Below are 27,795 nucleotides of genomic sequence, written 5' to 3'. Positions count from 1 at the left end.
TCATCACAGATTATTTACATTGTTTCAATTGAGCATAATTTTTTAATGAAGATTTTTATTGAGATAATTGCAAATTAACATTTATTTGTAAAATATAATACGGAGACATCCTTTGCAAATTTTCCCAATACCCCTCATTGGCAATATTTTTCACAACTAGATTTTAAGAGTTTGATATTAGAACCAGGATGTTATCCTTGATAAAAATCCAACAACCTTATTCAGATTCCCCCACATCTCCTTGTCCCATTTTATGTGTATATGTGGGTATTAAATTGTATAATAATGTTATCTACTGCCTAGGTCCATGTATCCCCAACATTATAGTTATGATACTGAACAGTTTCAAAACCACTAGGATCTTTCACTGGCATTTTATAACCATACCCACTAGCAACTTTGTCAAAAGTCAGCTGAAGATATTTGTGGAGTTCTATTTTGGGTCATCTATCCTGTCCCATTAATCTATGTTTCTCTCTGCAACACCACACTGTCTTGTCCACTGTAGCTTTATCACCAGCATTAATATCAAAGAGTAATTCTTATGATTTTCTTCCTCATCAAGAGTGTTTTAATTAATTGAAGGCCTGTGTCTTTCCATAGAATTTTTAGAATAGGCTTGCCTATATTTATAAAAAAAATTCAAGCTGGGATTTCAAAAATCATTGCATTCAACCTATAGATTTGGGAAGAACTGACATTTTAGTCTGTTGTGTCTCCCAGTTAATAAATGTAATATCTTAATTTATTTTGTTTGTCTTTGATTTCTTTCATTAGTATTTTGTAATTTTCAGCATTCAGTGCATAAAACATTATGTGCATGTTTTATTACATGTGGCAGTAGTTCTTTTAGTGATTGTAAATGCAATTGTTTTAATTTCAGTTTTTGAATATTCATTGTTAGTATTGATTTGTGTTTGATGATCTTCTATCCTACCAACTTGTTGAACTCACTTAGTTGTATGAGTTTTAGTTTATTTCTTTGTTTTGTTTTGTTTGTAGATTCATTGGGATTTGCTACATGGAAAATAACATTACCTAAAAATAGGAATAATTTTATTCTGACCTTTATGATCTTTAAGTATTTTATTTTCTTTTTCTGCCTTATAGTTGCACTGAGTAGAAGTTACTAAGTTGGATAAGAGTTACTAGAGCAGACATGTTTTTCCTTGCTCCAAATTGTATTTTGTCCAATATTAATTCAATCATTCCTACTTTTATAAAAAAAAATTTACATGGTATAGTATTTTCCATTATTTTACTTTCAAAATCTACCTGTGTCATTGAATTTGAAGTAATTTTTTTAAAAGCAGCATACAGTTGGATAGTAATTTGTGTGTTCAGTATGCCTTCTCTAATTATTTTATTTAAATCATTTATATTTAAGATAATTAGTGATTAATGAGGAGTGCTATTTTATTATATATCTTACATTTGTTTTCTCTGTTTCTCATTTCTTTGTTTCTTTTTTATGCTATTCTTTGTGTTACGTGAACATTATTAAAGATTCTGTCCTAATTAATTTATTCTGTTTTTGAGTATACTTCTTTGTATATTTCTCACTGTGGTTGCTTTAGGGGTTACCACAAACATAGGTGACTTTTAACCATCTACACATATCAACATTTTACCATTTTGAAGGAAGTGTGAAAGCTTCACTTCCATTTTGGTTCTGTGACTTTCTTCACTTATCGCCTTGGATATCATATGGTGTTTTAATTTTTGTTTCAATATTTAAATATGATAGATAAAACTCATGAAGGAAAGAACAGCCTATTGCATTTTTTCACTTTTCTGCTCTTCCCCTTGTTGCTTCAGTTTCAGTATTCTTTTGTGTGTCATTTCCTTTCTATTTGAAGAACTCCCTTTAGCCAACCAATAAGGTATGTCTGATATCAACAGATCCTTTTAGTTTGCCTTTATCTGAAAATAGTTTTATTTTCCTTCATTCTTGAAGAGCATTTCTGCCACATGCAGAATCTGTAGTTGACAGTTCTACTCTTTCAAAACTTGCAAAATACTGCACCAGGTTTTTTAAGTCTCAATGGTGTTACATGCGAAATCTACTGTCATTTGAATTGCCTTTCCTTTCAGGTAATGCATCACTTTACTCTGGCTGCTTTCAAAAAATGTTCTTTTATATTTTTAGTTTTCAAAGGATTAATTATGTTAAATCTTGTTGTGGATTTGTTTGAATTTAACCTGTTTGGAATTCTCTCAGCTTCTTGGATCTGTAGGTTTTGATTTTCACCAAATCTGGGAAAAAGTTTTCAGTCATTATATCTTTAAAATTCTTCTAGTGTCAGTCATTTTTCCATTTTATCCCAGAATTTTAGTAACAGAAATATTGGACCTTTTTTATTGTCCCTTGTGTCCCTGAGACAGTTTTTCTCTCTGTTTTGCAGATTGGGTGAACTTTATTGTTCTGTTCTCAAGTTAACTGATTCTATTCTGTCATCTCCACTCTACTACTCAACCTATCCAGCAATGTTTTCATTCCTGTTATTTTGTTTTCTTGTTCTATAATTCTACTTAGTTATTTTTAAAATAACTTTTATTTTTTGCTGAGATTATGTATATTTCACTTCGTTCAAAATAAGTTCTTAATGTATTAATGAAGCATTTTTATAAAAGCTACTTTTAAACCCTTGTCAGATATTTCCAGTAATTGGTTCATTGCGGTGTTGACATCAATTGATTATTTTTTTTCATTTAAGTTACAATTTTCTCCGTTCTTGGTATAGTAGGTGATTTTCTTTTTAGTTCCCAGACATTTTTCTTATTATGATAGAAGATTCAGAGTCTTGTTTAAATTAGTCTTGTTAAAGTCTATTTTAAGTCACTCACCAAGTTTAGGTTTAGCATGTGGGGCTTGGCCTAATTTTTGTGGACTGTGATTTAAATGGCAGGGTATTTTCAGTGCCTATATTTATTTCAGTCTTACTAAGTTTATCTGGAGCCACTGGTGCTGCATGATGGCACAAAATGGGTTTCCCTTAGACCATTCTGTGGATGTTGCTTGGTGGAGCCATCATGTGGAGCAATTCCATTACTGCTGAACTTCAGTTTTCCTGCTGTACTTAGACAGAGCTTTCCTGGTGTCCTTGGACAGTCCTTGGACAAGGATGGGGAATCATGACACCACGAAGTCAAACATGCTTCTGGACCAGGATAACTGTTGTCAACTCTTTCCAGACAACCTGCCTCAGTAGTTCTTAGTGATAAAGGAAGTCTCATAATTTATGAAGAAGCAGAATGCTTCTACTGACTGCTTATTCTTGGTGGGGCTCCCAAGCAATATCCCTTGGCAAAGCTGTCATGTTTGCCTGATGTTTTCAGAGACACTTCTGTTTGAAATGGGTAAGCTCATTTCTCTGCAAGAAGCTGAGCTGCCTTTTGCTGTCAGGTTGTGGGACAGGAAACACTAGGCCTGGGTAGCCTTTTTCTGTTGGTTCAGGGGATACAAGATACCCTGCTGCTGACCTATTTCTCCAGACCTAAGGCTGCAAACAAGCATGCCTTTTTCATACCTTTCAGAAATCACTTACATTTGTCCCTTGTGTGACTTCCAGGGTTTATAATTGTACTTGTCAGGAAGGAATAGGGAAAAATGAGTGTATATCATCTTATCTGAACTAGAAGTCTAGAACATATTTCACACATTGAATTATCATATTTAACAGTGTGAAGGTCTTATTTATCAAATTATATCACTGAAGGGGATTTATACCTGTATATTTCATGCATGGCTTTTAAAAAATAAATGGTACTTACATATGCTATTACACACATTATAGGTCAGTTATAGTTTATATTAGGGTTCTACAGAAAAACAGAACCTATAGAATATTAGGGGAGAGAGAGAAAGAGAGAGAGGGAGAGAAAAAAAGGGATCAATTTATGGGAATTGGTTTACATTGTTAATGGAGGCCAAGAAATCCCATTATCTTCTGTCTCAACATTGGAACCAGGACAGCTTGCGATGTCATTCAATACAAGTAAAAAGAACTGAGAATCAGGAGTGCCAATTTTGGAGAGCAAGACTGATGGATGTCCCATCTATGACATAAAGAACTCACCCTTTCTCCATCTTTTTCTTCTATTTGGTCTCTCAATTGATTGTATGGATCCCACCCATGTTGAATTAAGTGCTAATCCCAAATACTGATATAAATACTAATATCTTCTGGAAATACTCTCACAGACACATTCAGAAATAACATTTTACCACCTCTCTGGACATCCCTTAGCCCAGTCAGGATGATACATAAAATTAGTCACCACTACAAAGTTAGTTATATTTCATGATGCAATGCTATTTGTAGGACTATTTCAAATAAAACAGAATTCACTAGATTGTAGTTGAATCTTGATAATTTAACTTGAAATTTTAGAGAGGATATTAATTATTTAATTCATAAATAATCAAATATTTTTCAAGAGGGTATTTCAACTTAAGCCACTTTTTTAGTTGTAGCATCTTGGAACTTAAGATATGGAAAATTATATTACCAAACTTACCATTTTTATACAGGTGATTCCTTCGCACATGTACAGAAGTTTATCTAATCCTTCTCTTCAAATTGTATATCTATAGAGATTAATCCTCTCCCAGAATATATTGAAGCTGGAGTCAGGTTATCTACCCTCCTTCCATAACCCCTTATTCTCAGATCCTCTCTTACCTTTCAGGAGTACAGTACGAGGACCTTGGTTTTTATTTGTTTTATTGTCTATCTTTCCAAAGGCTAAGCTGTACATATTATATCTGTTCTCTGTCCTTCTAAGTTTCACTCATTAAACTCTTCATTTTCTTGTTTCTAATAGCAACAAAATCCACAATTAATTTTACGGTGTAAAAGGCAACTGGAAAGATTGTATTCTAAAATTTGTGTGAGTAAGCCGTGGTATGTTTCACTCCTGGCATCCCTGGACTATATCTGATTTCCCATAATAAAATACAGTGTACATTTAATAATGAACCTTATGATCACCTTAGCTCTGGGGCAACAAATATTTGCTTCTGATGCAGTTCCAGGAATATTGATAAAATGACTTAAAACCCTCTTAATAGATTACAGATTGTTCCATACAACTGCTTTAATGGTTATACTACTTATTTTGAAATTAGAAAAATGTTAATTACTGGTGACTACATTAGTTTAGCTCTAGGCTTAAGGTGGGTAATAAGTGAAATATTTTTACCAAAAAAATAACAGCCCTGAATCACTATCTGAACTTAGATTCCTTTATCCAAGTTAAGTACTTTGTCTTTAGAAGAAAACAGCAAAATATTGGTAGTAGGGTAGGTGAAGATTTATAGAATTGCAGGGTTTTCTGTCATAGTAGAAGGAGGAGGAGGAGTATTAGCTCTAGAAGAACAGGCATTATCATTCATTGATTACCCAGGGTCAGACTCTAATATCATCAAATTATTTCACTGTCCCAAATGCCAAGCTATAAAGGCTATGACAACAATGGTAATATATTTGGAAGAATCATGCTTGCTATCTAACGTAATCACAAATGCCTCTGTGCCTAGTCGTCTAAATAACTTGTCCTTCTTCTAAAGTAGAAGTAAAGTTCTACCATAGCTAGTTTATCTTTATGGAGGAGTATAAAAAATGTTGGTCTGCACTAATGTACAGTTTTTTTGTATGTTATTTATAAGTCTATATTCTGATACTTTTTTCATGCTTTTTGCAGTTGTTTAACAAATAAAGTTGTCATCATTCATTAGTGGGTCAGATTGCTTTGGTGCAATGACAATACTTCTAAAAGCCCTGTAACATAAAATTACCTTTATTTCTAATTGAGTTAGGATTCTCCAGGGAAATTGAACCAAAGTATATATGGATCAACAGATAGATAGATAGAAAGATGGATAGGTAGGTAAGAGGAGATTTACTGTGGGAATTTGCTCACATGATTACGGAGACTGAGCAGTCCTACCATGTGCTGTCTGCAGGCTGGAGAACCAAGAAAGCTGGTGGTGTCATTTAAACCTAGTCTGAAGGCCTGGCAACTAAGCCAGCCAACAATGTAACTCCTATTCCAAGTTCAAAGACTTGAGAACCAGGAAAGCTACTGGTGTAAGTTACGAAGCCTGAAGGCTCAACAACCAGGAGCTCTGAGGTCGGAGGGCAGGAGAAGATGAACGCCCCAGCTCTAGAAGAGAGAGAAAAAATTCACCCTTCCTTTGCTTTCATTGTTCTATCTAGACCCTCAAAAGATGAGATAGTGCCTGTCCACTCTGGGGAGGGGGATCTTTTTTACTCTATCTACTAATTCAAAAAAACATTCTCATAGACACATCTAGAAATCATGTTTTATCAGCTCTGTGGGCCTTCCTTAGACTAGTCAAGTTGACATGTAAAATTAACCATTATATCAATCAATTAAAACTCAGAAACCTAACAGGTTACTGCTTACCTATCATCATATGTGGTAAAAAGAAATACATACATTTTAAATTTGGTAACATTCTTCTAAAAAGTAGTCTGTTGTGGAACACTGTGTAATAAAGCAAAAATGGAATAAGAGCTATGGAAAGGTGGAAAAATGTCTTACTGAATTTTTCAGAGAATTGACTTACTTCAGCTAGTGTAAATGAATAAGTAAATCCATTTCTTTTCCTCCTATTTCTGTCACATTTCTTGTGAGAATCTGATTCACATTCGGAGTTTGAAATGGAAAATAAAAATAGAGCACTGTTTGTGTCAGATAATTACTTTCCAAATTCTGTAACTGAAAGCCAGTTGGGACTGGAACTGTGTTTTTGTTCCTGTGAAACAGAAATTCTGTCATGTGCAGCTACAGGATTTGACTGATATTGCTAGAAGTTACCTTTCCACTCAGCGAGCATGAGTGACTAGTTCATCCAGTTACAAGTGATGAGAAAGCTGCTAAAGGAAAGATATTTCCAGAAAGTTAACATATCCTTACATAATACAATTATATATGTAATACATTTCTTATTTTGAATTTGCATACAACTTTATCAAGAGAAATCTTTTTTCTTTCTGCCCCTACTAAATATGTGCTGAACAGATGTGTGTGTGTGTGTGTGTGTGTGTGTGTGTGTGTTTAAAAGTCGAATTGCAAGAATATCATTAGGTTTCCTAGGAGCCCACACATCTGTGTTCCGTGAGTACCTGCTCAGTGTCATGTCTCTGGAATTTTACACATATTAATATTTACTACCACACGCACTGCCACTCTCATTTTCAAATGAGGAAGCCAACTCTTTAGATGTGCTCTGGTGCCGACTGAAAGATTTATGTTTCTAATCTCAAACTCTTTCATGAGCTTCTGATTCCTGTAGTTAAGATAGACAGTATACATACTTGGAGGCTTTGCTGCAATCTCAAAATTAACCTGAACAAAACTGGACTCTAAGTCTCTTCCCAGTGACTCATATCTGGTTTCCCCACAGCCTCTTCTTTTCAGTAATTACCCTTCCATCCAGCAGGTGTTCAAGTAACACACCTGAGAATCGTTCTTGACACCTCCTTCATGCTCACCTCTCCCTAAACCCACTCTGTTAGTGAGTCTTGTCAGCTCCTCATCTGAAATGTATCTCAAGTCTGTCTGGTTCTTTTCAACCTTCTCCACTCTAATTTATTTGCCATCATTTTTCACCTGAAACACTGCAATAGGCTCTTAATTGGTATCCCCTTTCCCCTGTGCACCGTATAAACTCTTCCTTATCCAGCATCCAGATTGATCCTTTATAAACAGATACCTGGTCTTGTCATTCTAGCACTTAAAATCCTTCAGAGGCTTCCAAGTGCATCTAGATTAAACTCCAAATCCTCAACACAGATGAAGCAACATGAACCACTACTCCTTTTAGCTTTTACAGCTCTACTTTCTCTTTATCTCTTCTCATAGACACTCCTACTGTTACTTTATAGAATTTACCAAATTCATATTTTAATTATCTATGTGTCAGCAGCTGGATTCATCACTAGATTCTAAATCGCTTAAATGCACATACAATATACCTTTCGTTCATCATTATGCCACTGTATAGACAGCAAATAGCCAAGCACTCGCACATAGTATATAATCTAAAAATCATTAAATATATAAAGGAAGGAAGGAGTGAAACAATTTCAAAATTTATACATGCAGTAATAAAAAATCAGAATTGAAAGTGCATCCTTGTCTCCATTGTTTGTGATGTCATCCCTTATAGTATGTTGACTAGGAAAGTTTAAGAAGATTAGATTTTTGGAAAACTAGAAAGGTTTAGAGAGAAGCATAAAAAAGTCTCTTGATAGCAGGGGTGTTATGAGCATATAATGAGCCCATGAAGGAGCTTGAAATAGTCGAAACCAAATATAGTGCAATGAGTCCTGTGATGGGGACATTTATATATGTGGTATATTTATATATGTGGGGACATTTATGTATGATGGTATATTTATATATGTATTACATGTACAAATGAATAATAACGATGGTAATTATGTTTACTTGTGATATATAAAACTGTATATATTATTTACATACACATTATATTATGTATAAAATGTATACAATATATACACCTGTATTATATACTGTATATTCATTTATTATTCATATATGTAATTACTACTATTGCTTATTGTTTTTACTCACATTGCTAATTTATAACTCTAGATAGAGCTTTGAAACAAGTACTACTATTGGCAAACATCAATTCTAAGACAATAACTTCAGCAGTTCAAAGAGTGGGAAAAGGCCAGTGAGCTTGTGCTTTTTCTATAATTTTTACATATATTTATTTGCAATAGAAGTTCATATTGTCTTCTCTTCTTGCCTATTTGTCAACTTTATATTCTTAATAATTGACGTATTTTTTGTCATCATCAAAGGGATATTGCAAGCACTTTTTATTTTGTTTTGTCTATAAGATGTAGCCAAGTTCTATTGACTTATTTTTCTGTTTCCTTGACTTTTGGTTTCTACTTGATTAATGGCTGCGGAACATGGAAGAACTGAAATTATAAATTTGAGTTATTACTTCAGTTATAAATTATTAACAGTCACTTCTAGTCTAACATTTGTTGAGTAATTATCATATGCAAGGCATTATTCTAATTCCTTCATATGCATTAATTCATATCTATCTCATTGAAACACTTTGAGGGATGTAGTACTATTATTTTTACTTTACAGATAAAATAACTGACGCCCAGTAAGGTTAAGTAACTTGCCTAAGGTCGTACAACTTACAAAGAAAACAGTCAGCTTTTGCAGACATGGTGTAGCTTCACAGCCCTAGGAGATTAATATTTTGTAAAGGCAATTGCCCTGTGACAATTAGTGGGGAAAGAACAATCATCATTTCAACTTTACAACACTCCAGACTGTTCCCTTAGATGCTTGAACTCCAGTGAGAATACAGAAAGGTGGAGAAGATGGCATGCATGCTTCATGTATAGGCGGCTCTTCCCTCAAAAACAAGCTCTTTGCCCTTGAATGCAAATTTACTGACACCCCAAAAACAATCCCCTATCGCTAACTAATAAGGCAGCAACTGCTAAAACCAGAGTTAGGGAAAATAGAAGAGAAAGGCCATGGTGAATGCTGGGATATGAATCTATTTAAAAAATCAATTCCTAAGGGTTCAAACCTCCTTTAACAACAAGTCACCATTTCAAATTGTTACTATAATGTATTGGTATTTAATGCCATTCATGTAAAGGAGGGCATAATCCTTCATTAACACCATTGAATGTTTTGGATATTTTCATTATATAAAATTATGTGTCTTCTATAACTTGAGTACTGGACATCAATCTTGTCAATGATAGAACACTAATATGTAATCTGGTAAGAAGCCCACCCTATGAAAGCCAATAGGACATATGAGATGGATCTCATAGGCAGACATGCTAAGGGCAAGTTTGAGTGGATATACATTATGGCAAATTAACAGCATCCGTTTCATAGTCAAGTGAAATATGCAACTAGCCCAGAATATATTCTTAGATTAAAATGTTGTAAGAACCTCACATTCCATCAACTACATGTATTTTTTAATTCCTTTCTCATTAAACACTTGAAGTCTCTTTATCATGTGGAAACTAATGATATAAATGAATTAGCTGACACAAATGTCAACAAATCTTTTGCATGAATGAATTCTCTTTTTTTGTTTCAAGTTATCTCCATCATTACCATCTTGAAAAGTCAGTCTATGTGTGCTTCATGTAGAAAAATTCCAACATTTACTGTAATTGCTTAATTACCAGTTCTCAGCACCTTAATAATAACAGGACATTTGAGGATTTGCAAATAACAACAATGTCTAATTTTTCAGCTGCTTATTCACACCCTATTATAAGCAAAATGGCAAACACATGCAACAGGTTTTCCCATCAGCATTAGTTAATTTTAGGCAGAGGTTTTTATAGATCCAACAAAGTAAGAAAGAGAAAGAGAAAGAAAAGGGGGAGAATACTTTCCACAATCTGGTAAATATTAATAGGTGCTATTATTTTTATTATCCAATAAAAATAAATATTACTTATCTGATATACTTCTGAAGGAGTTAATTATTCTTTCTTCAGTGGTTTTATAAGTATATATAGACATGTATACTTATATATACATGTAAACATATATATATATATATATAACTGTAAATTACTGCTATTCATTGGACACTTGGTGCTGGCGTCTTACATCCATTATTTTTTTAAATTCTATCTTGGATTTTCATCTGATTTTGCTTTTGTACTTGGTTTCTCTCTCTTCTTGCTTGATTTGTTTACTTTGTTTAGTTGTTTATTTATGTCTCATGATTAACTTTTATCTTTTCTGTTTGTTATGTGGTCTTAGATCCAAGCTTGGGTCACAATAGCTTAGTCTTCTTATATGCACATGTACCTTCCTATGGAAACACATGCATATAGTTTCAGATAACTATAAAAATAATGCTGTTTTATATTAAAAGATTAAAAGACTTGCTCATACATTAAACAATTTTTTTTTTTTTGAAACAGTCTCGCTCTGTTGCCCAGGCTGGATTGCAATGGTGTGGTCTAGGTTCACTGCAACCTCTGCCTCCCAGGTTCAAGCGATTCTCCTGCCTCAGCCTCCCTAGTAGCTGGGACTACAGGTGCGCACCACCACGCCCGGCTAATTTTGTATTTTTAGTAGAGACAGGGTTTCACTTTGTTGACCACGCTGGTCTCAAACTCTTGACATTGTGATCCACCTGCCTTGGCTCTGCCAGGCACTGTCCTAATTTGATATGTACAAAAATAAAATGACTCTGAGTTCAGGCCAAGGCAAAGATATCTCAGAGTTGTGGCATAGTTGTGAAGAGACAGCTAGCTCTCCACAAAGATTCTTCTTCCTTTCTATAGAGGTACCTTCTCAGCGGGCATTTCCCAGTCCTACTTCTAGTTGTATCAGTTTCTCTCAAATATCCCGTCTGTAGGGGATCTTGTCCTCTCTCATTTCTTTCTTTGGCTTGTGAAGTTTAGTTTTCAGCGAAGGGTCTGGACATCCTAGAGGTTAGCAATACTGCCAACGTGGAGGCAGTTGGAACAGAATCCATTACTGTACAACCCCAGAGCCCCTACCCCAACACCCCCCCAGCCATGCCTAGCACACAGACACTGGACTTTGTGTAAATTAGAAGAACTAAAGAATGGCTTTCTGGTGGTAACCTACTAAGATTCTAGGATTTTCTCTAGGTGCACATTAATACTGTGTCCAATGTAAAATGTGTGGTTAAGTGTCAGGTCAATGAAGAGTGTGGTGAGGACATGGAAGAATTAGAGTTCAAATATATATTATCAGGAACATTGAAGGATGATGCTTTAGAACAAGTGAAAGCCTATTCTATGATATTATTTTTATCTTTTAGGTATAGTACTCTGTATATTCAAGGAAGCTGATTGAAGATATAGATCAATATCTTGTAGAGCTGATTTATCCATATTGGGATAGCAGCCTTAAAGCTCATTAATAAATTAGAAAATAATATTTTCACTTCAGTAGTTTAGCCTAAAAATGGAGGTGAAGCAATTACTTTATTTCTCTAAAACCAAATACAAAGTAAACTAACATATCAAATAGCAAGTTTGGGGTGCACTGCTTTTAGAAATAAAAAAATTGAATATTCATTATTGTTGAGTTATTGGACTTTACTGAAATACAAAACCAGAAATTGAGAGGCATTATTGCTGAGTTTCTGGACTTAAATATAAAATTATTCATTATTGCTGAATAGAAATGTGAGAACTATGTTAGTGATGGCATGCTACCATATAAAGATTTCTATTCATGCTATTCATTTTCATATCATAAGTAATATATGCATTCATTGTAGGAATGTTTTTAAATTGCAGAAATAAAATGAAATAATAATTTGTAAATCACCTTTTGTACCATTTCAGAAATATGTCTCGTTACTGTAATCCTCCTGCTGCTTCAAAGTTCAATAGTTGGCCTAATTTTATTTTTACCATCACTTCCCTTGTCTCTTTTTAATCAGTCATTCAATTTAATAAACATTTACTGAACATGTAAATTAAATTAGTTTTAGTCTTTCAAGATTTTAACAATAACTACCATTTATTCAGTGTCTACTACAGCCTAAGATAAGTGTTTTTATGTATTATATACATTTTATTTTATATGTCACCTTATTTAATCTTCATGAAACCTCTATGATCTACCTATTTTATTCTGCATTTTACAGATGCATGCATATATATATATATATATATATATATATATATATATATATATATATTTTTTTTTTTTTTTTTTTTTTTTTTGAGACAGAGTTTTGCTCTTGTTGCCGAGGCTGGAATGCAATGGCATGATCTCGGCTTACTGCAACCTCCGCCTCATGAGTTCAAGCGATTCTCCTGCCTTAGCCTCCTGAGTAGCTGGAATTACAGGCATGCACCACCATGCCTGGCTAATTTTTTGTATTTTTAGTAGAGACGGGGTTTCTCCATGTTGGTTAGGCTGATCTCGAACTCCCAACCCCAGGTGATCTGCCCGCCTCGGCCTCCCAAAGTGCTGGGATTGCAGGTATGAGCCACCGCGCCTGGCCTACAGATGCATATATTGAGTGGCTACTATGTGCTGGGCAGTGTACTAATTGTGTAATTAGCTTTATGTCCCTCAACCTGAAAAATATTATGTGATGGATCAGTCCTGAAAGCTAGAGACATGTATTCATTTAACAAATATTTATTATCTCATATTCTATGACAGATACCATTCTTTTGTAGACTAAAAACTCAAACTCCATAAAATATTTAAAGAGGTTTACGTTCAGCCAATATGAGTGACTATGTACCCAGGAATAGTCTCAAGAAGTCCTGAGAATGTGTGCCTGAGGTGGTTGGGTTACAGTTTGGTTTTATATATTACAGAGAGGAAGAAGAAAGGCATGACATCTCCAGGCTCCAGGACTGGGGGACAGAAGCTTACAGGTCATTGGTGGATTCTAAGATTTTCTCATTGATAGTTGGTTGAATGAGTTAAGATTTGTGTAAAGACTTGAAGTCAGTAGAAAAAAATTGCTTGAGGTAAGATAAGGTGGGTTGTGGAAGCCAAGGTTCTTCTTATGTGGATGAAGCCTCCAGGTAGCAGGCTTCATAGAGAATAGATGGTAAATGTGTCTTTTTAGATTTTAAAAGGTGTCAGACTCCTAGTTAGTCTCTCCTAGATCCAAGAAAGGCCAAGAATATTTGCAAGCTCTAAAAAATGAAGTAAGATTACTTTGCTAGGTTTTAAATGTGGAATATAAATTGGGAATTACCTGCGAGAGCTATTTTGCAGTATTTAATAAAGTTATAGATTCTCATGTTCTATAATGTACTTGTAAGAAAAAAATCACATGTACACAAGAATGAATGCATAAAAAATTTCAAGCATTGTTTTATAGCAAAAAAATTGAAACAAAGAAAAGGAGATGGAATTTTAAAAAAGTGGCATGCCTGTGTAATAGAATGTTATATAATAGTCTTGTTACAGCAAAGATCATATCTAAGAGTCTAATTTTCATGTCTCAACATGCCCAATATCGGAAAGATAGTGTTAACTAAAAATTTCAAGTTGCAGAAAGAGCTACTTTGCCAGATCATGGTAAGAGGATTTCTTGTTTTCTAGAACATAAGAATCTAACTTTTCTAGATGATTCCAAGTTATCATCTGTTCTACAAGTTTTGAACATACTCATAAACTGTTTGAATTTTTCCCTCTTCTTATTTTTGTGTATATTTTTATTCATTTAACTGTATTGTAATATTTAAAAAACATAGGCTATACATTTCTAAAAGCACAATTTTGCTCAAAAAGTTGTCCAGTTTTTTGCACATGGCATATAACTAAAATGTATTAAATGAATTATGGAATGAAGAAATGAATTTACTTTTTTGTACAAAATTTTAAAATAAAATGTTTTTACTCATCTATAAAATGAAGAAAATAATATCTACCTATGGGATTTTTGTATATAAAGGGCAGAGGAATGTATCAGGTACAGAGTAGGCATTCAGTAAATAATACAGGGCATTTTAATGTTGGTAATATAATTTAAAGTGTGTAGTAGCCACTACTAGTCATGAAGAGTTTGTATGAGTCCCATGTTCCTATAGTAAATGTTTTCTTGTCTTATAGAATATAAATGAGAATTAATAGTTAGTACTCAATGTCAGACATTGTATTAATGTTTCAGGATAATCATAACACATGGAGATGAGACTCCACCTCATAGCAAGCCCCAACGAAAGACACAAATTGTTCCTTAGAAAATGTAGGGAGGGAAGAGGGTAGAAACTACAAACCACATATGTCCCCATGTGGTGACAGAGGTTTCCTTGGGAGAAGGAATGTTTGGCTTTATCATCCAGGAATTCCTGGTTGAAATAAGTTTAGAATATAACAGCAATCACTAGTATGCTCAGGTGACTATGAGATGCAGTTATTTAAACTCCTGTCAGGCACATTTTTCTCACTTTTGATGTTTGAAAGCAGAAAAATGTAATATATTAAAATGGAAATATATGAGTTTTATAAATATTAATTGATGTCCTTCATTATTTTATTCTGTTTGATCCATTCTTTCCACATCCACAGCTCTCTGCAGAACCCATTTCAGAGAGGTTAAGAGACTTCTTATCTAATTGTACCTTATTAATATTTGGTGGAACTGGGATGTGAAAAGAAGCCTATCACAATCTCAAGTTCATGTTCTTTCCACTGCTGTATCTTGCCTCGTGTTACATAATAGTGCGGCAGATTAATTTCTAATTGTGACACATGGACCAGCAAAAAGGCTTTATCAGGATTTGTTCATGTTAATTAGGCAGAAACAAAGTTAATGCAGCTTAGAGCAGCAAAGAACTTTCATTCAAATACATTTTACATCTGTGAAACAGATGTCATATTTAAAAGTCTCAGACTACACAAAGTATTAAACTTCTCCCAAGGGTAGAGAGACATTTGGTGAAATCAAATACTTTATATCCACAAATATTGATATATTATTGCTTTGTGTAGGCCACACAAAATAAAAATCTAGTCCTCATTAGCTTTTCTGATATACTGAGTAATGTCTTAAGTTGTAGAAAGATTTAGAATGTCTTCTCCATGCAGAGTTTTTATCAAAACAAGAAGAAACATTTACATCATGAGCAGTGGAATTTGGCCAAGCATACCTAAGAATTAGGGAGTATTGCTATCATTCTCATTTTACAGTGCAGGAGACAAATCAGAGTCTAAGCAACTCCTTCCAAATCACAGCATAAATAAGTCTAAGTGCGCTCATGTAAATGCAGATATTCTGCCACCAAAATTAGGCTCCTAATCACCATCGTGCTGCCCTGACTCCATTGTAGACTAATTTTTCCTTAAGTATACGTCTTTTCATTACATACATTTGAATTTGCTTTTCTCCACATCACAATCCACCAAGCCACACTACACCACACAGGAAAATCCCTTTTGCCTTACTCCTCTCTGTGGAAAAGTGTGATATGGTTTGGCTCTGTGTCCCCATGCAAATCTCACTGTGAATTGTAATCTCCATAATCCCCACGTGTCAAGGGCGGAACCAGGTGGAGGTAGTTGAATCATGGGGCTGTTTTCTCCCATGCTCCCCTCATGATAATGAGTGGGTCTCAGGAGATCTGATGGTTTCATAAGTGTCTGGCATTTCCCCTGCTTGCACTCATTCTCTCTCCTGCCACCCTGTGAAGAGGTGCCTTCCACCATGATTGTGAGTCTCCTGAGGCCTCCCCAGACATGTGGAACTATGAGTAAATTAAACGTCTTTCCTTTATAAATCACCCAGTCTCTGGCAGTACTATATAAAAGTGTGAAAATAAATTAATACAGGTGTGTTTGCTTTTTTTTATTTTTGCATCCATATATCCCTATTATATCCCATGTTAGTCTAACACTTAAATTGAAAATAGATTTTTTGGCCAGAATATATATTTTTCTTTCCAGAAAATAAATGATTATAAAGCCAAAGGGGAAATTGATTTACTGGATAATAGAAATATGATATCCATATATGTTAATTAAGGATGCCTTTGACACAGCAGAAATTATCCAAAAATTATGGATGTCAAAAACTTAATGTTTTCTCTCACTTTTCATTCAAGACAAGGGACTGCCACCAATCTTCCCTTCTCCATTATTATTGTGTTTTCCATTTCCACCTGAAATTCTCTCTGGACTCAGACTATTGTGAGTGTTTAATTTGTATGCTAGAAACTCTAACGTTGAGAGAGAAAAAAATATGAAAATACCAAATCATTTAATAATCATTCTTTACTCAGTAATAAAATCTTATGTTAAAGTGGTTTCAGTAAAATATAGTTTTATATAATAAAAAAACCCCCACAAGATTAGTTAGAACTTATTCCTCAATAATTTTAACTCTTACATAGTGCCTGGTTTTGGGAAATTTCAATACTGCTTACACCTGCTCTTTGTTGTTTTCTCTTTTGTTATGATTATAATTAATCTTTCAAGGAGTACACTTGTAGGTCATACACATATTTCCATTTTCTAATATCTTTTGTAGGGCTAGTGGTACATTTTTTTTTGTACTTACATGTAAATTTTAAATGAGTGTTTTTTTTCTATGTGATTTTATTTCATACAGGAATTGAGAAAATTAAAAATGTCAATACTCTTACAATTGCATTCATCTTTGATGATTGCAAATAATTTGCTGTTTTTTTCTTTGCAATAACAATATTCACTTTATGTATGCTAATGAATGATACATGATTTACTTTTGGACTATGGGCCTATATTTAGCCATAATTAATATCGTGAAAAATATTAGTGAACAAACTTTTAATTGTAGTTTTAAATTGGTTATGGAAATAAATCTGGCCTTACGCATATTAGATTCATTGGAATAACACATTTATTTGTGAGTTTTTCTTTGCTTCTACAGGCGTTTTAAATATTTGACTTGCTGTATTTAATTTCATATTATTCTATAGGAAACCACTTCAGCAGGCCTTATTTGATCACCTGTGGCATTATTCTTTGCTAAGAAGTATAGGCTCCTTTCTTAGTGTTACAACAGTTTCCATTACCAAACCTTTGTCCAAAGCCAATAGAAAATCTGACTTGAAAGTAAGGAGGCATTATTAAAAATCTGAAAATTGTGGCCATATACAAAAGTTAAAGGAGGGAAAAAATATAATAAAACTAGAGGAAAATATAAATACATTTTGTCTCTAGTGAATTTGCAGCTGGTATTGGAAAATCATTTTGCTCTCAGGGAAGGTTTTGAAGCAGAAATGAAAAAAGAATCAACATGAACCAGGCTGTGATGTTCTGCTGTCTGGGAGATTAGATAACCAAGGGGGAAACAAAAGTGTCTAGAAGCAGTGTAAAGGATTTCCAAAATATTTTTTTTCTTGTCCTTTTTTGTTCCTAATTTAGACTAAACAGATATATTTAAATATTTTGTGAACAATAATGTAGAAGAAAGTGACAGTAGGATACAATGTATTGATAAAATCAAAACATAAAATTAACATGTGAAAGTAAGTGAGATGCTGATTTTACAAAGAATGGAAAAATGGTGTCAGGAAAGATACTGGCATAATAAGGACTCTTTTCTGTCTCTTATCGACAAGGAAATACATAGACAATTAGATTTATACAGTTAGGTTCAAGATCTAATACAGCAGGTAAGTTTGTATCCATAACCGTGTTTAGTTAAATGATGAATACTTTCTGTATTTGTGAAGGTGGAGGTGCTGTATAAAGACATGAATGACTTCAGTTGAAGTTATGCACTCTTCTGTGGATGGAGCTCACTATATGGAATAAACAGATACTGCCCTATTCTAAGAAGGTTCTAATGAAGGGTACATTAAGCTAAGAAGGTTACATAAGGAAAGACATTAACAGGCCCTTCCTACATACTTGCCAAGAATGCCTGAATTCTTAGCATGATATATAATTTTAAAATTCACATTGTTATATGGAAGCATGTATTAATTCATATATTATTCATATAAAATGGACTAAACTTGTTAGTCTATGTCTTATTTTGAGGCCAAATGAACATGGGTTCAAATATGAGCCACTTGTTATTGGCTATTTGACCCTGATGAGAGACTGCTAGTCGTACCCAAAGTCTCATCGCCAACTGTTGAACATTTTAGTAATAACATCTTCTACACACTTGTCTGTAAAGAAGCCCTATGCAGCCTTCTATGTAGCTGTGTATAACCATGACCAAATTTTACCCACTGGGATGTTGGTGTAAGTAAGATGTGCAACTTTGGTACAGGACATTAAGAAAAAAACTGTGGCGAATTCTGAATTCCTTCCACTTTGTCCCTGTTTCTTTTTCTCCCTCTTGGCTGGAACAGAGCAAAATCAGCAAAGAAAGTCCTACATCCAAACATGGAAGCCATGAATTGAGGATAGCAGATCTGCCTTGGTAACAATAGATTGCTTACCACTGCTCTCTAATGAGAGAAAGAATTCAGCTTCGATTGTATTTTACTGTCTATTTGTTACAATAATTTATTCTCCACTTAAAACAATAAACTAACTCAATTTTCTTAATGTCTCCACTATTAGGTTTCTTCATTAGAAAAAATAAAAGATAAAACCAATTTACAGTGTTGCAATAGTTAATCTGGGACATTATTCAACTTATATTCAGTGATTATTCTATAAAATTAATATTATAGATGTACACATTGTAGAATCCTTAATGTGAGTCTCTGTCTGCTATTAACTTGTTGTCCTACCTCGATCAGATTATTGATCTTTCCATAGTCTCAGTTTTCCCTCTATTAAATGGCATAGTATCTACCTCATGTATTAATATAAAAATTTTTAAAGTATTCTCACATATATTATTAAACTTATTTTATATAATGCAAACTGTATTTTATTCCTAGCCAGGTGGATGAAATCTTGTGTGTGTGCAGAGACATCATTTGTGAAAGAGAGTTTTGAATATCCTTCCTGGCCAGTAAACGAAGCCAGCATCAGATCTAGTGCAAGGAGGAGGTATCTGAGCATAATACATGTAGAAAAAGGAAACAGGGGCTGCAGAGCTAGGCTAAATTTCCTCATATTCTCCTGTCCAGGGATGAGATATCAGCATGAGGAGATGGGCTCCTATTGGCTATCCAATTCATGAAGGAACAGGGAAAGCCTTAAATTTTTTTTTATTATGGTTTTGTGGTGTCCACTGTATTTTTTGGGTCTCCATCCAAAATTGTTCATTAGTTTGACTTTGCACAATAAGAAGAGTCCATATCACATGGTGACAGTTTCCTGAGTCTTGTTTTAAGGCTGGTAAAGAGGAAAACCAGAGATTATTTATGTAGTAGGTCTATCTTTCTAATTTTGTTTATTTGTTACTAGGATACAGAGATACAGAGATAAAATCATTTTTCATCTTGATTATGTATTCCATCATCTGGCTAAGGTCATTTATAAGTTCATATAGTATTTTTGTAGATTGAATACAATTTTTACATAGGCAGTAGTATTTGTGAATTCAGGTAGTTCTGTTTCTTCTTGTCTGATAAAGACACTGTTAATTCATCTTTCGTTTTAATTTCTTGGCTAAAACTTCCATCAAAATATGAAATACAAGAGGTGAAAGCAGATATCTTTGTTGTGTTTCAGATATTGGCTGCGGGGAGGGAAGTTCAGTCTCCCATATTTAATCATGTAGGTTCAATGTAGTTTTTTCATAGATGCCCTTTTTCAGGTTAATTATGTTCTGTGTTGTTTCTACTTTGTAGTTTTTGTAACAAATGGAGTTGGGTTTGGCAAAGGTGTTTTGTGTCTATTGAGATTTTTGTGGGGGAAAGTTTAAACTATAAATTGATTTCGTAATAAATACAGGGCTATTCAGGTTATCTTTTTCTTCTTGATTAAAATTTAATAATTTGGGATTTTCAAGGAATTTGATTCATCTGATTTGTTGAATTTATTAGCATAAAGCTATTCATATTATTCTCTTATTGCCTTTTTACTACTTATAGAAATTTAATGATCTTTCTTCTCTCCCATTCCTAATAGTCATAATTTATGTTCTTTGTTTCTCCTGATCTGTCTGGCAAAAGTTCTATTCATTTTAGTAATTTTAATTATTTTCTCAAATAATCTTCATAAAAGCACCCAGGCATTCTGAAAAATTTCAGGTATAAAACTAGCTTACTTTGAAAATATCGGAGAAACTTAAGATCAATCTCCATGACAACTTAAGGCTGTAAGATATTTATTTGGCAATTCTTTACCTACTTCTTCTTTGATCAAGGATGAACGGAACTTTCATCTCAAGGCTAGTTTGTTCTAATTCATCTGCAAGAATGCCAACAATTTAGGCCCTAATTCTTTTTCAAACGTAGTGCCTGATTCTTCACAAGCACAGTGTGGCCGGCCAACTGTGTGAATCTTTCTTCTGTTGGTTGTCTCAGGTTATTTAGACAGTTTGCTTTACTGGCATAACAATCCATCTGAGCTCTATGTATAATTGCTAACCTACCCAAACTGGATTGCCTTCCATCTGTTATCTTGTGTCGTTGTTAACATGCATTGAGGAGAGAGAGGCAAACAAAATTCAGGAATACATATAAACTTGTCTTTGCTTTGTATTTGCATTTTCTTTTTTCTTTTATTTTTGAGACAGAGTTTCACTCTTGTTGCCCAGGCTGGAGTGGAATGATGCGATCTCGGCTCACTGCAACCTCTGCCTCCCAGGTTCAAGCAATTCTTGTGCCTCAGGCTCCTGCATAGCTGGGATTACAGGCATGTGCCATCACGCCTGGCTAATTTTTGTATTTTTAGTAGAGACAGGGTTTTACCATGTTGGACATGCTGGTCTTGAACTCCTGACCTCAACTGATCCATCCACCTCGGCTTCCCAAAGTGCTGAGATTACAGGTGTGAGCCATATATTTGCATTTTCTTTCTCAACACTTGTATAAAAACATACGAGACTCAAGCATTATGTTGTGTAATATTTCATTGTAAAATACTTGTTTTTGTTACTGGACATAATGATGAGTGATTTACTGGCATTTCATTTTATCCCTATTACTACTTTCACTATTAGTTCTTATTATTTCTACTTTTCAAATGAGAAAACCAAAACTTATGGAACATTTACATTGTTCAGTGTTACAAAGATACCACACTCCAAAGCTCCCACTTATATAGTCTTATTTCACTATGGTGCCACTCAACTAAAAAAATGTGTATAACAGTCATTTGAATAAGAGAAGTCTATGGGCTTACTTTTGTTAATATAATCCAATGGTTTTATATCTACTCATTTTCTAAAACAACCCACTGTCAATGTATGACACTGTCATTACGCCTTTTTTCCTCCCATTTTAATTTGATCATAGTACTATCATTGCTCCCTGTATGAATTTATTTTCTCCTCTTTTACTTCCTCCCTACATTCATCCCTCTTTCTTTCCATCCTCTTCCTCCTCTTTCTTCAATACTGAGTGCCTGTAAATACATAATTTGCATAAAGAATTAAACAGACCGTTATCAATGCTTTGAATCTCTTCCTGTATTCCCACTCTTGCCAATTGTCCTCCTTGCATAAAGAATGTATCTCTTAAAATCTGAAATATAATGTTGTAGTGACTGCCCAAAATAAGAAACCTTTTGAGTAGGTGGAAAAGAAAACGTGCATTTGTCCTCCTTAGATCCTAACAATTATGACCATAATGTTTAAGTTTACTCTAATTTTCTTTATTGTGTCAAATCTGCTGTTTAATCCATTCACTAAAATTTTGATCCCCTTAATATTTATTATTCCAAGATAGTATTTTTTTCAAATTTCTCCTCATTCTTGATGGTTTCCTATTGTTTGAGCATCTTGTTAATTGCATCCATTATTTCTCTGATAATTTTGTGTACAGTATAATTTTCTTTAGTTTTATTGTACATCTGCATTTTTGTTGATCAAAATCAGTGGTTTCTCACTTCGTTTCCCCTTATCATAATAATTGCCATCCTCCCATCCAGATATTCCTGCCCATGCTCCAAAATTTATGAACTCTAGCTTATGAGTTCTCAACTTCATTCTCCCTTACCATGGCCTTTGTTTTCATGTGTTTCTAATCTGTTTTATTGCAAAGACAGCCTTAATTTTCATGTGTAGTATTCCTGTAGGCCTTATTTGTCTTATATTGCTGATGTACATCTGCCTCAGCTACTGATATAGCTTGGATATTTGTCTCCGTCTAAATCTCATGTTGAATTGTAATCCTCAATGATGGAAGTGGTGCCTGGTAGGTGGTGTTTGGATCACAGGGCAGATCCCTCATGGCTTAGTGCTGTTTTACTGATAGTGAGTTCTCCTGAAATCTGGTCATTTAAAAGTGTGTGGCATCTCCCCCCCACTGTCTTTCTCTCGCTCCTGCTTTTACTCTGTGAGGTGTCTGCTCCTGCCTCACCTTCCGCAACAACTGTAAACCTCTTGATGCATCCACAGAAGCAGATTCCGCATCCACAGTAACAGATTCCGCATCCACAGAAGCAGATTCCTCTATGCTTCCTGTACAGCCTGTGGAACCAGGAGCGATTAAATATCTTTTCCTATAAATTACCCCGTCTCAGGTATTTCTTTATAGCAATGCAAGAATGGCCTAAGACAGCTGGTAAAGGACATGTTCCTGTCTCTGGACTACTTTCAATCAACTCTTTCTCCAATGTTGGTAGCGAGCTAGTAGCGTAAATATTCCAAGCATCCTCATCTTCACCATGGCTTGTCATGGAAAACCACCTGCTTTTCCAGTATGGTGCATTGCCCCCACTGGCTATTTGCTTTTCCCATTCACTGCTGCCCCTGCTGGGACTTCCAGCTTCTTCAGCTTTGGCTCTGAAGGGTTCCTGTCTTGGTCAATTTGGGCTCTTATAACAAAGTACCATAGACTGGGTGGTTTATTAACAGAAATAATTATTTCTCATGGTTCTGGAGGTTGAAAGTCCAACATCAGGGTATTGCGTGGTCCGTTGGGTTCTGTTGTAGGTCCTTTTCTGAATTGTAGACTGCCAACTTACACTTGTATACTCTCCCATGGCAGTCTTGGCCTTTTTTTTTTTTTTTTTTTTTTTTTTTTTTTTTTTTTTTTTGAGACAGAGTCTTGCTCTGTCACTCAGGCTGTAGTGCAATGGTGTGATCTTTGCTTCCTGCAACTCCACTTCAATTCTCCTGTCTCAGCCTCCCTAGTAGCTGGGACTATAGGTGCATACCACCCCACACGGCTAATTTTTGTATTTTTAGTGGAGATGGGGTTTCACCATATTGGTGAGGCTGGTCTCGAATTCCTGACCTGAGGTGATCCGCCCGCCTCAGCCTCCCAAAGTGCTGGGATTACAGGCGTGAGCCACTGCGCCCAGACTGAGGTCCCTTTCATAAGCGTGCTTATCCCATTCATGAGGGCTCCATTTCTACCTAATATCAGTATTTCCCCTTACTATGATTTATTTATTTATTTTATTTTATTTTATTTTAATTTTATTTTATTTTTGACAAGGTTTCAGTTTTTTGCCCAGGCTGGAGTGCTGTGGCACGGTTATGCTCACTTCAGCCTCCACCACTAGGGCTCAAGTTATCCTCCTGCCTCTGCCTTCTGAACAGTTGGGACTATAGGCATGAGCCACTATGCCCAGCCCCCCTTAATATAAATTTTAAGGGGGCACAAATATTCAGTCCATAATAGTTGTCACCCTGCCACCCAGGTATTTCTGCCCAGGCTCCAAAATTTGTGAGCCCTAGCTTCTGAGCTCTAAAATGTAGGTGTTTATCTATGCTAGCTTTTTCATCACCTCTTCAGTGCACCAAACCCATGTTATTTTGGAGTAAATCTCAAAGACCAGTAATATGTCCAAAAGTGATTAATACCCTGGATCTAGCTATATAGAGAAATAGTAGAGTCCCTCAGAATTCTCCAGAAGGTGCTTCTTTGTTTTTCCCATTCTTTCCTTTTCATAGGTGTATGTGTTTATCTTCTCTTTTCATAAATGTTTATGATTCCAAGTTTTTAAATGTGTTCTTGGTGTTCCCACCTGTTTTTCTTTTAACTTTAACTGCAATATGTGAATCCTTTTAGGTTTTATAGTTCATGTCTTTTATTTTCTGATGTCTCATTTATGTGTCAACTGCACACATCCACTGAATTTACAGGTAGCTCAAAACTCAGTTTTCCCCAACTATCATTATGTTTATATCATCTTCTATTTTTAAACTCTCACTTACATTTTAGTGTCTTCTATATTACCTTTAGCCTATAAAAGATACCACCTCCTCAGTCTCTCAGATAGTAAACAAATTGCCATTCTTGATACTTCCTTGACTCAACTACTTCCTTATGTCCTAAAATCAATGTTTCTAATTTCTTAAATAAAATGCCTATTTATTTTCTCTTTAATGTGCTCCTGAATAGGATTCACTTTTCTTTAGTCTCCTCTGAACTGTGAGGTTTTCTCCATGCTTGCCCCTTGTAAGTCAAATTACAATTTGTTTTACCTTTCTAAAGTTCAATTTTGCTTCTGCTATATCCCTCTCTTTTCATCTCTATTTTTAGATTAAAATAATTGCATGGATATATCTTTTTTAAATAAAAACTTTAAACTACAAAGCATGCCATTCAAGGGACTGAGCTCTACTTACCTTTTCAGACTTCTGATGTGATCTTGTTCTGAATGATATTCCATTTGTCTTTGGATTTCCACGTATTTTTATATGGTATAGTCCTAAATAGTATTTGCAGTTAGTTGGTTCTTAGTAACTGTTCACTATATAGCTGCTAAAATATGAAACAGAGATAAGAATCCCTTTATTTATCCTATGATTATGTATGTAGGTAATATCTATATAAAATTATATCAGAAACATTATGAATATGAATATCAGAAGATAAATATAAGACCCTTATAAATATCACACAATAATTCACCAGCTCTTAATTATTGATGTTTACTTAAGAAGGGACATATACATAATGTTTAATCTTAATTTTGGTCATTTAGTATATAACCAATGCAGAAGATGCAAAAATGTATTTACAGTTTTGTACACTTAGACTTATCAGTCATTATGCCTGTGCATACATAATAATGTTGTTTGGCTAAATTATAAGAGCCCAGGCTCTGACATTACTGTGGTTCAAATCTACATTCTATTACTTAGCAGCTTTGTGATCTTGGGCAAATTTATTGACAACAATAAGATTCAGTTTCTTAATTTAAAAATATGAGTATAATAATACTTCAAAGTGGTACTAAAACTATTAATGTTTTAGCAGGATATCTGACAAAATTAAAACAACATAATGGTATCATCTGACAGTTCTGGAAGTCACAATTTCTGGAATCAAGGTGTGGACAGGGCTGCTTTTCTTTTGGAGACTCTAAAGGAGATTCTGTTTTTTTTCAGCTTTTAGAAGCCTGAATTCCTTCTCTTGTAACCCATTTTCCAGCTTTAAAGCAAGTATTATAACATCTTCAACTCTTTCTCTCTCTCTCACTGACACTTGCTTATGTCTTCACAGGTTTCTTCTGGCTCTCCTGCCTCCCCTTTTCTCTTATAACAACTCTTGGGATTTTATTGGGCATATCTGGATAATCCAGATTAACTCTCCTTAAATTACTCACATCAGCAAAGCCTATTCTCCATGCAAAATAACATATTGACAAGTTCTGTAGATTAAGACATGGATATTTTTGAGGAGGTGGTAATATTGTAAATGCAAAACAAGTATTTTGGGCTGTGGGTAGGAAAAAGAGTGACAATCAGGCCCTGAAGTTTGTTTGGGATATTAAGTAATTATTTTTTAACGACAGGAGAGTAAAAAGTGTTCGATCATCTTAGAGAAAAATTCTGTCAGTGGTTCCCAAAAACATATAGAATGGAAAATAATTTGCACATTCATTAGTAAGCTATAAAAATACCACAATCCTTTTTTGAATGTAAATTTCTTCATCTTGATTTTATAGAGGTACATTTTGCATTAATAAGTATATAATGTGGAGACATTTGAAAACTTTATAAACTGTCCCAAATGAAGTAAAGAATATATTGCAGTTAATTGGTACACTCCTGCCCCTGACAACTGCCTATTTGATTTCTCTAACTACAGCTTAGTTTCGTTTGGCCTATAAATGTATACAAATGGAGCCAAAGTCGATGTGTTTTTTTGAGTTCAGCTTACTTAATTCAGCATACTATTTTGAGATACATCCAAACGCCTCACTAGTGAATTTATTATTTCCCCAATACTCAGTGGCTTAAAACAACAAACATTCCTTATCTCACAGTTTCTGTGAGTCAGGAATTCAGTCATGGCTTAGCTGAGTGCCTCTGTTTCAGGAACTCTCATGGCTGTGATCAAGGTGTTAGCTGGGGTTGCAATCATTTCAAGACAAAATTTTGTGGAAAATCTCCTTCCAAGATACCTGTGTGTCTCTGGGCAGGCCTCAGGTTCATGTTGGCTGTGGACTGGAGTCATCAGTTTTCTTGCCACGTGAGCCTCTCCTTAGGGCTTCTCATGCATGGCAGCTTTCTGCCCTGAGTGAGGGCTCCAAGATAGAGAGCAACAAAGAGTGATAGATGATAAGAGGGAGTAAGCATGACAGAAGCCAATATCATTTTATAACCTATATTTCCAAGTGACATCCATCACTTTTATCTTATTACAAGGAGTCGCTATGTCCCACCCAAACTCAAAAAGACGACATTACACAAGGGTGTAAATGACAGGAGACAGTACACATTAGAGGTAATTCCAATAGCTGCCTACCAGAGACTGCCCTCTGACACCTCAGTGATTCATGTTTCTCTCACAAAATACACTTCTCTTCACCCAAGTACCCCAAAAGTATCATCCCATTATAGTGTTATCTCAAAGTCCAGAATCTCATGATCTATTTCAAGCCCAGGTGTTGATGTGTCCATTTTTAACTGGACTAATTGCCTTTTTGTTGAGTTGTGCTGTTTATAAATTCTAGATATTTAAGCCCATGTCCTTGTATATAGTTTCTCTTCATCTGTAGTTCTGTGAAGCTACAAAGAAATGTTATTTGCCCCCCAAAATACAAAATGCAATGCTGATACAAGCATAGAAAAATGAATACAGCTATTCCTTTTCAAAAACAGCAAAATGGCAGACACAAAAGAGTACATAGCAATTCTGAAATTCAGCCAGAGAAATATTAGAAGTTCCTTGATTAGGGCTCAAGGCCTAGGAATAATTTTCATGACTACACTCTGTGGACTTTTTTTTTCTGCAGTCT

General features: G+C 34.7%; 1 protein-coding gene and 1 long non-coding RNA gene across 21 annotated transcripts in view; one reads left to right on the top strand and one right to left on the bottom strand.

Moving 5' to 3' along the window:
• CDH18 (cadherin 18) overlaps window positions 1-27,795 on the top strand; it is a 1,104,418-nt gene that overhangs the window by 777,271 nt on the left and 299,352 nt on the right. The window lies entirely within an intron of this gene.
• On the bottom strand, window positions 19,738-27,042 carry LOC105374672 (uncharacterized). The gene is made up of 3 exons (XR_925821.3): window positions 26,959-27,042; window positions 25,175-25,310; window positions 19,738-19,821 (listed from the first exon to the last, which is right to left on the bottom strand). It is a non-coding gene; the product is annotated as an uncharacterized LOC105374672 (long non-coding RNA).

The sequence above is a fragment of the Homo sapiens genome, chromosome 5 (genome assembly GCF_000001405.40).
Source record: "Homo sapiens chromosome 5, GRCh38.p14 Primary Assembly".
Classification (NCBI taxonomy): domain Eukaryota; kingdom Metazoa; phylum Chordata; class Mammalia; order Primates; family Hominidae; genus Homo; species Homo sapiens.
The sequence above is the reverse complement of the archived record's forward strand: the minus strand, read 5'-3'. Positions and strand labels throughout refer to the sequence as shown.